At 48.6% G+C, this 12218-nt stretch overlaps 2 annotated features.

Moving 5' to 3' along the window:
• Positions 8932-9431: an enhancer, noted in NCBI's record as "H3K4me1 hESC enhancer chrX:1252515-1253014 (GRCh37/hg19 assembly coordinates)". NCBI's record gives its function as "activates a minimal SCP1, AML or CMV promoter by ChIP-STARR-seq in naive H9 embryonic stem cells {active_cell/tissue: H9 hESC(naive)}" and the evidence as "EXISTENCE:reporter gene assay evidence [ECO:0000049][PMID:30033119]".
• Positions 9432-9933: an enhancer, noted in NCBI's record as "H3K4me1 hESC enhancer chrX:1252013-1252514 (GRCh37/hg19 assembly coordinates)". NCBI's record gives its function as "activates a minimal SCP1, AML or CMV promoter by ChIP-STARR-seq in naive H9 embryonic stem cells {active_cell/tissue: H9 hESC(naive)}" and the evidence as "EXISTENCE:reporter gene assay evidence [ECO:0000049][PMID:30033119]".

Here is a 12218-nt window from a genome sequence, read left to right as displayed (position 1 = left end):
TATGTATATGTGTATATATGTATATATGTGTATATATCTGTATATGTGTATCTATGTGTATATGTGTATATATGTATATATGTGTGTATATATGTGTATATATGTATATATGTGTACATGTGTATATATGTGTATATGTATATATGTATATATGTGTATGTATGTGTATATATGTATATGTATATGTATATGTGTATATATGTGTATATATGTATATGTATATATGTATATATGTGTATATATGGTATATGTATATACACACACACACACACGTGTATATATATATATGTATATATATATTTGTTTTTTAGATAGAATTTCACTTTCGTTACCCAGGCTAGAATGCAATGGTGCAATCTCCGCTCACTGCAACCTCTACCTCCCAGGTTCAAGCAATTCTCCTGCCTCAGCCTCCCAAGTAGCTGGGATTACAGGCACCTGCCACCACGCCCAGCTGATTTTTGTATTTTTAGTTGAGATGGGGTTTCACCACATTGGCCAGGCTGGTCTTGAACTCCTGACCTCGTGATCCACCTGCCTCAACCTCCCAAAGCGCTGGGATTACAGGTGTGAGCCATTGCACCTGGCCCTATTTTATTTTATTTTATTTTATTGACTACATTATCATAAGAGAATTGGGTCCAGTTTTGACACCTACTGATGTGGTTTGGCTGTGTCCTCACCCAAATCTCATCTTGGACCCTAGCTCCCATAATCCCTCTGTATCGTGGGAGGGACCTAGTGGGAGAGAATTGAATCGTGGAGGCAGTTTCCCCCGTACTGTTCTCAGGGTCGTGAATACGTCTCACAAGGTCTGATGCTTTATCAGCGGTTTCCCTTTTCCCTCGGTTCTCTCTCTTTCTGTCTCTTGTTCTCTCTCTGTCTGTCTCTCTGTCTGTGTGTTTCTCTCTCTCTGTCTCTGTCTCTCTCTGTCTCTCTCTCTCTGTTTCTCTCTGTCTCTGTCTCTCTGTCTCTCTCTCTCTGTCTCTGTCTCTCCCTGTCTCTGTCTCTCTCTCCCTGTCTCTCTGTCTCTCTCTTTCTCTCTGTCTCTGTCTCTCCCTGTGTCTCTCTGTCTGTCTGTCTCTCTGTCTGTCTCTCTGTCTCTTTCTCTCTGTCTCTTTCTCTCTGTCTGTCTCTCTCTGTCTCTCTCTCCCTGTCTCTCTGTCTCTCTCTTTCTCTCTTTCTGTCTCTGTCACTCTCTTTCTGTCTCTATCTCTTTCTCTCTGTCTCTGTCTCTCTCTTTCTGTGTCTCTCTCTCTGTCTCTCTCTCTTTCTGTCTCTGTCTCTCTCTGTCTCTCTGTCTGTCTCTCTGTGTCTCTCTGTCTCTGTCTCTCTGTCTCTCTTTGTCTCTCTGTCTGTCTCTCTGTGTCTCTCTGTCTCTGTCTCTCTGTCTCTCTTTGTCTCTCTGTCTGTCTCTCTGTTTCTCTCTGTCTCTGTCTCTCTCTGTCTCTGTCTCTCTGTCTCTGTCTCTCCCTGTCTCTCTGTCTCTCTCTCTCTGTCTCTGTCTCTCCCTGTGTCTCTCTGTCTGTCTCTCTTTGTCTGTCTCTCTGTCTCTTTCTCTCTGTCTCTTTCTCTCTGTCTGTCTCTCTCTGTCTCTCTCTCCCTGTCTCTCTGTCTCTCTCTTTCTCTCTTTCTGTCTCTGTCACTCTCTTTCTGTCTCTATCTCTTTCTCTCTGTCTCTCTCTTTCTCTCTGTGTCTCTCTCTCTTTCTCTCTGTCTCTCTCTCTGTCTTTCTGTCTCTGTCTCTGTCTCTCTGTCTCTCTGTGTCTCTCTGTCTCTCTTTGTCTCTCTGTCTGTCTCTCTGTGTCTCTCTGTCTCTGTCTCTCTCTGTGTCTCTGTCTCTCTTTCTCTCTCTCTCTGTCTCTCTCCCTCTGTCTGTCTCTCTCTTTCTGTCTCTCTCTGTCTCTTTCTCTCTGTCTCTCTCTCTCTCTGTCTCTCTGTCCCTGTCTCTCTCTCTCTGTTTCTGTCTCTCTCTGCCTCTTTCTCTCTGTCTCTGTCTCTTTCTCTCTCTGTCTCTCTGTCCCTGTCTCTCTTTCTCTCTCTCTTTCTGTCTCTCTTTCTGTGTGTCTCTCTCTGTCTCTGTGTCTCTCTGTGTCTCTGTCTCTCTCTCTCTGTCTCTCTGTCTCTCTTTCTCTCTGTGTCTCTCTCCCTCTGTCTGTCTCTCTCTCTCTTTCTGTCTCTCTCTGTCTCTGTCTCTCTGTCTCTGTCTCTCTCTTTCTCTCTGTTTCTGTCTCTGTCTCTCTCTCTCTCTTTTCTTGTCTGCTGCCATAGAAGATGTGACTTTTGTCGTCCCCTATGTGGAACTGTCAGTCCATTAAACCCCTTCCTGGCTGGGCGCGGTGGCTCACGCCTGTCATCCCAGCACTTTGGGAGGCCGAGGCAGGTGGATCACCTGAGGTCAGGAGTTCGAGACCAGCCTGATCAACGTGGTAAAACCCCGTCTCTACTAAAAATACAAAAATTAGCCGGGCGTGGTGGTGGGTACCTGTAGTCCCAGCTACTCAGGAGGCTGAGGCAGGAGGATCGCTTTAACCCGGGAGGCGGAGGTTGCGGTGAGCCGAGATTGCGCCACTGCACTCCAGGCTTGGCGACAGAGTGAGACTCTGCCTTAAAAAAAATAATAAAAATAAAAACAATAAAAAAATCCTCTTTTCTTTATAAATTACCTGGTGTTGGTATGATTTTATCAGCAGCCTGAAAAGGGACTAATACTAGACCGCCCTCCTTTACTCATTCACTACCCACCACACTCAACTCTGTTACCTCCCTGATTAGCCAGCAGCCTCCCTGACATCCGAATGGACAGAGACTGGTCTGCTACTCTGAGAAAGGTGGGGTCAATGTTACATTGTTAACTGCAGAGACAGCGTCCTCGTCTGCACAGCCTTTGACCCTGAAGACCGCAAAGCCTGTTTCCACTTGTCTTGTTAGGGTTGTTACGGGATCTGGTGCAACCTGGGCTCACCGCAACCTCTACCTCCCGGGTTCAACCGATTCTCCTGCCTCAGCCTCCGGAGTAGCTGGGATTACAGGCACCCACCACCACACCCGGCTAATGTTTGTATTTTTAGTAGGGATGGGGTTTCACCACGTTGGCCAGGCTGGTCTCGAACTCCCGACCTCAGATGATCCACCCGCCTCAACCTCCCAAAGTGCTGGGATGACAGGCGTGAGCCGCCGTGCCCGGCCTTTATTTTATTTATTTTTTTTCTTAGACAGAGTTTCACTCTTGTTGCCCAGGCTGGAGTGCAGTGGTGCGATCTCCACTCACTGTAACCTCTACCTCTCGGGTTCAAGCAATTCTCCTGCCTCAGCCTTCCGAGTAGCTGCGATTACAGGCAGCTGCCACCACACCCAGCTAATTTTTGTATTTTTAGTAGAGTCAGGGTTTCACCGTATTGGCCAGGCTGGTCTCAAACTCCTGACCTCAGGTGATCTGCCTGCCTCGGCCTCCCAAAGTGCTCAGGCATGAGCCACCTCACCTGGCCCTGTTTTTTTGTTTTGTTTTGTTTTGTTTTGTTTTGTTTTTGAGACAGAGTGGCACTCTTGTTGCCCAGGCTGGAGTGCAGCGGTGCGATCTGTGCTCACAGCAACGTCTACCTCCTGGATTCAAGCAATTCTCCTGCCTCAGCCTCCTGAGTAGCTGGGATTGCAGGCAGCTGCCACCACGCCAGGCTAATTTTTTTTTGTATTTTTAGTAGAGACGGGGTTTCATCATGTTGGCCAGGCTGGTCTCGATCTCTTGACGTCATGATCTACCCACCTCGGCCTCCCAAAGTGCTGCGATTACAGGCGTGAGCCACCGCGCCCGGCTAATTTTTGTATTTTTAGTAGAGATGGGGTTTCACCATGTTGGTCAGGCTGGTCTCGAACTCGTGACCTCATGATCCACCCACCTCGGCCCCCCAAAGTGCTGGGATGACAGGCGTGAGCCACCGCACCTGGCCACCAGGGAGTCTATGCTTGTCTGTAAAACTGGTCTGCGACCTCTCAGAAAAGCCTTCAGTTTTACTGGTAACTTGTTTTGTTTCACAAACCGGGTAGACGGTGAAGGCGTTGCTCCTCAAATCGCCACTTGGTGGCAGCCAATACCTACAACTTCCAGTGTTGCTTTTGATTTTTCTCTCTTTTTGAGATGGAGTTTTGCTCTTGTCACCCAGGCTGGAGTGCAGTGGTGCGATCTCAGCTGACTGCAACCTCCGCCTCCCGGGTTCGAGTGATTCTCCTGCCTCAGTCTCCCGAGTAGTTGGGATTACAGGCGCACGCCACCACGCCTGACTAATTTTTGTATTTTTAGTAGAGACAGGGTTTCACCATGTTGGTCAGGATGGTGTCAAACTCCTGACCTCAGGTGATCCGCCTGCCTCAGCCTCCCAAAGTGCTGGGATGACAGGCGTGATCCACCACGCCTGGCTAATGTTTGTATTTTTAGTAGAGACCGGGTTTCACCATGTTGACCAGGCTGGTCTCGAACTCCTGACCTCAGGTGATCCACCCACCTGGGCCTCCCAAAGTGCTGGGATGACAGGCATGAGCCATCGCACCAGGCCGAGCGTTGCCTTTTGGTAATACAAGTGTGAAAACTCAGAACCGCAGAGCTTCTCTAGCTGCCCTGACAGGAACACACCTCCATGGCCCCAGTCTCAATGGTGTAGGGACTGTTGGAAGAGCTTAGTGATAAGGAAATGATTCCAAATGAAGTTCCATCTTCTTAAAACTGCAATTCCGATTCTGATGTGACTTTTTTTTTTTTTTTTTTTGAGATGGAGTCTTGCTCTGTCACCCAGGCTGGAGTGCAGTGGTGTGATCTCGGCTCACTGCAACCTCCGACTCCCGCGTTCGAGCGATTCTCCTGCCTCAGCCTCCCAAGTAGCTGGCATGACAGGTGCCCGCCACCACACCCGGCTAATTTTTTTAAAAATTATTATTATCTTTCAGACGGAGTCTCACTCTGTAGCCAGGCTGGAGTGCAGTGGCGCCATCCTGGCTCGCTGCAACCTCCGCCTCCTGGGCTCAAGTGATTCTCCTACCTCAGCCTCCTGAGTAGCTGGGATTACTGGCGCCCACGACCACAGCTGGCTGACTTTTGTATTTTTAGTAGAGACCAGGTTTCACCATGTTGGCCAGGCTGGTCTCGAACTGCTGACCTCAGGTGATCCGCCTGCCTCGGCCTCTCAAAGTGCTGGGATGACAGGCGTGAACCACCGCGCCCGGCCCAATTAAGAGAGGTTTAATTTTGTACGTGGGTCCTATCGGCCACAGGCATGGATGCTGCATAGTTGTTTGGTTTCGGAGATTGAAATGGGCATCCTTTTACTGGGGCAAGAGGAGTGTTTCGGAGGTAAGAACCTTCACTGAGGGTTTGTCCTGCACACTGTCTGACCCTTAGGACTTTTTTTCAGGCCGGTTGCGGTGGCTCATGCCTGTCATCCCAGCACTTTGGGAGGCCGAGGCGGGAGGATCACGAGGTGAGGAGATCGAGACCAGCCTGGCCAACATGGTGAAACCCCGTCTCTACTAAAAATACAAAAAAAAAATGGGCTGGACGTGGAGGCTCACATCTGTCATCCCAGCACTTTGGGAGGCCGAGGCGGGAGGATCACGAGGTGAGGAGATGGAGACCAGCCTGGCCAACATGGTGAAACCCCGTCTCTACTAAAGATACAAAAAAAAAATGGGCTGGACGTGGAGGCTCACATCTGTCATCCCAGCACTTTGGGAGGCCGAGGCGGGAGGATCACGAGGTCAGGAGATCGAGACCAGCCTGGCCAACATGGTGAAACCCCGTCTCTACTAAAAATACAAAAAAAAAATGGGCTGGACGTGGAGGCTCACACCTGTCATCCCAGCACTTTGGGAGGCCGAGGCGGGCGGATCACGAGGTCAGGAGATCGAGACCAGCCTGGCCAACATGGTAAAACCCCATCTCTACTAAAAATACAAAAAATTAGCCAGGTGTGGTGGCGGGCGCCTGTCGTCCCAGCTACTCGGGAGGATGAGGCAGGAGAATCACTTGAACCCGGGAGATGGAGCTTGCAGTGAGCCAAGGTCGCATGACGGCACTCCAGCCTGGGCGACAGAGCGAGACTCCGTCTCAAAAAAAACAAAGTTTCTTTTAGTGCTGAGCAAAACCACAATTGAGAATTGATCACCATCATTATATCCACTCAACAGAAAACCAGGAGAGGCCAAATGCAATAAAAGGACAGAGGTCTTTACCTCTGCGTTTGCAGTTTAGGGCTTTGGATAATCCAAGCAAATAGCGCCTGTTCAGAATTTTCCAGGAGACGGAAACTTTGCAGTAGAATTAAGCCCCATAAAAATATTATTAAAAATCATGTGCAATGAAATGTCCCCTTTTCTTCAGACTTAAATAATTCAAAGTTTCCTTTTTTAAACAGACACACACACACACAGAGAACACAATCATATACAGGTTAACCAAATATTGCATAAAGTTTCTGCAATTCAGAGTCTGCTGTAATTTACCTAATACAGGTAAAACTCATTAATGCTCAAATTCTACAGGTGGGATTTATGGTTATATAATTTCTTAATGCCCTGACTCTTTCCAGTTAAAATGCTGAAGATTTGTTCCTAGTCTTCTTGGGGACCCTTGTCGATGGCTTTGGTAAAAGTCATGTGATTGCATTTTTTTTTTTTTTTTTTTTTCTGAGACAGAGTTTCGCTCCGTCACCCAGGCTGGAGTGCATTGCTGTGATCTCGGCTCACTGCAACCTCCGCCTCCCGGGGTCAAGAGATTCTCCTGCCTCAGTCTCTTGAGTAGCTGGGATTACAGGCACCTGCCCCCACGGCCACCTAATTTTTTGTATTTTTAGTAGAGACGGGGTTTGACTATATTGGCCAGGCTGGTCTCGATCTCCTGACCTCGTGATCCGCCCGCCTCGGCCTACCAAAGTGCTGGGATTGCAGGCGTGAGCCGCCACGCCCGGCCTGTGATTGTATTTTTAACATCTCGACATTTCTCAAAGCTTTTCTCTTCCAGCCCATTGGTTTCTGAAGGTTTCCTAAAAACATCAGCCGGGCGTGGTGGCCGATGCCTGTAATCCCACTTACTCAGGAGGCTGAGGCAAGAGAATCGCCTGAACCCAGGAGGCAGAGGTGGCAGTGAGCTGAGATCCCACTACTGCACTGCAGCCTGGGCGACGGAGTGAGACTCTGTTTCAGAAAAGAAAAGAAAAAAACAGAAGAAAAGAAAGGGGAGAGGAGGGGAGGAGAGGAGAGGAGAGCATCTAAGCAACTCAACTGGTGTGATGGGGAAGCAGGGAGGGGAGGGGAGGGGAGGAGAGGAGAGGAGAGAAGAGGGGAGGAGAGGAGAGGGGAGGAGAGGAGAGGAGGGGAGAGGAGAGCATCTAAGCAACTGAAGTGGTGTGATGGGGAAACAGCGAGGGGAGGAGAGGAGGTAGGGGAGGAGGGGAGGGGAGGGGAGAGGAGAGCAGAGCAGCCATGCGCCCACAGCAGGAAATCTAGGTGCAGTCTTGGGTCAGCACGACCCCAGAACCAAAGTTGTCACGATGTCTCTGTCCATATTAGGGATCCGTGAAAACTCAAAAACAGAATTAGCTACATTCCTCCAGGGTGGTTCCAGACATCAAAGCTTTCAACATGAGGAATTCCTGACTCGGAGACTCCAGCCTCATTCCATGTACGGCCAAATTCCCGCAGGAAAGAAGGTGGTTTATATTATTCTTAAGTAAGGTTTTATTACATCCTGAGGGCAACTGTGATTCAGAGCGGGCTTGCTTTGTAGCAAGGAATATTACAGTGAACGTTAGTGAACAATGAAAGAATCAGATGAACTTTTGCATATAAACTTCTTTTTAAAAATGATGGTCAAAAATACATCATGTAAACTTTACCGTCTTAACCACTTTGAAGTTTATAGTTTTGTGGCATTAATGACATTCACACTGGCCAGCCGCGGTGGCTCACGCCTGTCATCCCAGCACTTTGGGAGGCCGAGGCGGGCGGATCATGAGGTCAGGAGTTCAAGACCAGCCTGGCCAACATGGTGAAACCCCGTCTCTACTAAAATACAAAAATTAGCCGGGCGTGGTGGCGGGCGCCTGTAATCCCAGCTACTCAGGAGACTGAGGCAGGAGAATCGCTTGAACCCGGGAGGCGGAGGTTGCAGTGAGCTGAGATCACGCCATTGCACTCCAGCCTGGGCAACAGAGGGAGACTCTGTCTAAACAATAAAATAAAATAATGAAATAAAAATAAATAAATGAATTAAATACTCTACTTCTCAGTATACATTTATGGATTTATTATTATTATTATTATTATTATTTTAGATCAAGTTTCAGCGATTCTCCTGCCTCAGCCTCCCAAGTAGCTGGGATTACAGGCGCCCACCACCACGCCCGACTAATTTTTGTATTTTTAGTAGAGATGGGGTTTCGCCATGTTGGCCAGGCTGGTCTCGAACTCCCGACCTCAGGCGATCCGCCTGCCTCAGCCTCCCAAAGTGCTGGCATTACAGGCTACAGGCGTGAGCTCCTGCACCCAGTGTCATAGAATCTTAACTTTTTTTTTTTTTAAGTGGAGCGTTGTTCTGTAGCCAAGGCTGGAGTGCAGTGGTGCGATCTTGGCTCACTGCAACCTCCGCCTCCTGCGTCCCGGTTTAAGCAATTCTCCTGCCTCAGTCTCCTGAGTAGCTGGAATTACAGGCACACGCCACCACACCCAGCTAATTTTTGTATTTTTAGTAGAGACGGGGTTTCCCTGTGTTAGCCAGGCTGGTCTCGAACTCCTGACCTCAAGTGATCCACCCTCCTCGGCCCCCCAAAGTGCTGGGATGACAGGCGTGAGCCACCGCGCCCGGCTAATCTTGTATTTTTAGTAGAGATGGGGTTTCCCTATGTTGGCCAGGCTGGTCTCGAACTCCCGACCTCAAGTGATCCACCCTCCTCGGCCCCCCAAAGTGCTGGGATGACAGGCGTGAGCCACCGCGCCCGGCTAATCTTGTATTTTTAGTAGAGACGGGGTTTTCCTATGTTGGCCAGGCTGGTCTCGAACTCCCGACCTCAGGCGATCCACCCTCCTCGGCCTCCCAAAGTGCTGGGATGACAGGCGTGAGCCACTGTGCCCAGCCTGTTTAATTCATGTAAACCTTCATTTCTCATCCTAAATGTCTCTTGTAAAAAAAAATACACTCTCAGCCAGCTGGAGAGATTGAAGACACGCAGAGCAAAAAAAGCCAATGTGGCTTTGGAGGTCGAGGCACAGACTCCTGTGAATCGATTTTGGTCGTGCCTCGATTGGCCAGCTGTGATGGGGAAGCTGTGACCCTCATCATCTCGAGACAGAGGGGTTCCCAGAAGGCAGGCTCTCCTGCCCCAGACTCCAAGGCTGCAAGTTCTGAATCCGGGAAAAGTGGAGGCATTGCCAGGGTGAAATGCACCCTCTCCGTCAGCCCCAGTTGGCACGGCCTCCAGAGGCTGGAGAGAGACCACGGTCTCCCTCCCTCCCTCCTCCCAGCTCCCTCCTTCGTCCTTCCAGGCACAGTGGCCCTTTTAGGACTCACTTTCCCTCACCCCAGCTCCTGGGGGTCTGCGGAGGCCCTGACAAGCCCCAGCTATTGCTGCTGTGTGCACCGAGGCAGGACCAGCCAGGAAAGGTCTTTAGCGGCGACCTGGGCTCATAATTAATGACCTGACCACCAAGGTGAGAAGCCAGGGACGCGCTGGCTAAATAGTTGATTGTTTTGGGGAAAATAAATAAAAGAACTGTTCTGTGGTTACCTCCCCCTCTCCCCCTACTTTTTTTTTTTTTTTTTTAGAAGGAAGGTTGGAAGATGTTAGTGAAAGGGAAGCTTCTGTACCAACCCTGCTAGAAGGACCGTCTGTTAAGTGGGAAATTTGCCCCCCGGGCCTATGGACCCTGTGCAGGAGAAAACCATGATTTCCCAAATGGCATCTGGGTTGCAGACACGGGCTCAGCCCCACCGCAACTGGAAGGCCGGCCTCAATGTGCTCTTTTCCGGGTGCAAAATCCTGACTTCAGAAACGGAGAAAGAGGTGGGTCTTGGTCTCTCTCTCTCTCTCTCCTCTCTCTCTCTTTCTCTCTTTCCCTCTCTCCTCTCTCTCTTCTCTTTCTTTCTCTCTCCTGTGTCTCTCCTCTTTCTCTGTCCTCTCTCTCCCTCCTCTTTCCCTCTTTTCTCTCTCTCCTCTTTCCCTCTTTTCTCTCTCTCCTCTCTCTTTCTCTCTCCTCTTTCTGTGTCCTCTCTTTTTCTCTCTCCTCTCTCTTCTCTCTGTCCTCTCTCCTCTCTGTTTCTCTCTCCTCTCTCTCTCTCCTCTTTCTCTGTCCTCTCTCTCTCTCCTCTCTTTCTCTTTCTATCTTTTCTCTCTCTTCTCTCTCTCTCTCGTCTCTCTTCCGCTTTCTCCTCTCTCTTCCTCTCTCTCCCTGGGACATAAATGGCTACAGGATATTCTGAGTTCCAAAGTATCATCACCCATGGGTAAAACTCTCAGAGTCAGGGAGACATCAGTGGTGAGAGGTCCTCAGCCAGGGGCGATTCTGCACCCGCAGAGGACACTGAGCACTGTCTGGAAATTACCTTTAGTTGTCAGAACTGGGATAGGGGGTGCTCCTGGGGCCCGGTGGGCGAGCCCAGAGATGCTCCTCAGCATCCTACAGGGCACAGGACGGCCCCATCACAGAGTCAGTCATCCAGCCCTAAATGTCAGCAGTGCTGAGGCTCAGACACAAGACACTCCGTCTCTGCATCTGTCTCCCTATTTTTCTTTTTCTTTTCTTTTCTTTCTTTCTTTCTTTCTTTCTCTCTTTCTTTCTTTTTTCTTTCTTTCTTCTTTTTCTCTTTCTTTCTCTTTCTTTTTCTCTTTCTTTCTTTCTTTCTCTTTCTTTCCCTTCCTTCCATCCTTCCTTCCTTTCCTCTCTCTTCTTTCTTTCTCCTTCTTCTTTCTTTCTTTCTCTCTCTCTTTCTTTCCCTTCCTTCCATCCTTCCTTCCTTTCCTTTCTCTCTTTTCTTTCTTTCTTTATTTCTCTCTCTCTTTCTTGCCCTTCCTTCCATCCTTCCTTCCTTTCCTTTCTCTCTCTTTCTTTCTTTTCCTTTCTTTCTCTTTCTTTCTTCCTTTCTTTGATGGAGTTTCACTCTCATCTTCCAGGCTGGAGCGCAATGGCACGATCTCAGCTCACTGCAACCTCCTTCTTCCAGGTTAAAGTGATTCTCCTGCCTCTGTCTCCCAAGTAGCTGGGACTGTAGGTGTGCACCACCATGCCCGAGTAGCTGGGATTGTAGGTGTGCACCACCACGCCCGGCTGATTTTTGTATTTTTAGTAGAGATGGGGTTTCACCATGTTGGCCAGGCTGGTCTCAAACTCCTGACCTCGGGTGATCCGCCCGCCTCAGCCTCCCAAAGTTCTGGGATTGCAGGTGTGAGCCACCACGCCCAGTCCCTGTTTATTTTTCTGTCATTTATTTATCTATCTATCATGTATCTATTTTTTTCTATCTATCTCTATCCATCTATTTTTCTATCTTTGTATCATCTATCTCTATCGATCTATCCATCACCTATCATCTATTTATGTATCTGTCATCTATCTATGTATCTATCTCTATCCATCTATTCCGTATCCATCTATTATCCATTTCTCTATTTTTCTATATTATCTATCTATCTATCTATCTATCTATCATCTCCATCATCTATCTAGCTATCTATCTATCATCTATTTTTTGTATTTTTCTACCTATGCATCCATTTTTCTTTACTTTCTTTTCTTTTTTCTTTTTTTTTTTTTTGAGACAGAGTCTTGCTCCTGCCACCCAGGCTGGAGTGCAGTGGCATGATCTTGGCTCACTAAAACCTCTGCTTCCTGAGTTCAAGTGATTTTCCTGCCTCAGCATCCCAAGTAGCTGGGACTACAGGAACCCGCCACCACACCCAGCTAATTTTTGTATTTTTAGTAGAGATGGGGTTTCACCATGTTGGTCAGGCTGGTATCGAACTCCTGACCTCAGGTGATCCGCCCGCCTCGGCCTCCCAAAGTGCTGGGATGACAGGCGTGAGCCACCGTGCCCGGCCTATGCATCCATTTTTCTATGTATCTATTTATCTATCTGTTTGTTATCTACTATCTCTCTATCTATATTGATACTGACTCCCAACTGCAGATAATTCTGCTCTAAGGTGCCATCGGGCAGTATTTACGGTCATTTTTCATTTTTT

The sequence above is a fragment of the Homo sapiens genome, chromosome X, assembly GCF_000001405.40.
Source record: "Homo sapiens chromosome X, GRCh38.p14 Primary Assembly".
In the NCBI taxonomy this organism is placed as follows: domain Eukaryota; kingdom Metazoa; phylum Chordata; class Mammalia; order Primates; family Hominidae; genus Homo; species Homo sapiens.
Note: the sequence above shows the minus strand (reverse complement) of the source record. Positions and strands in the feature narration are given on the sequence as shown.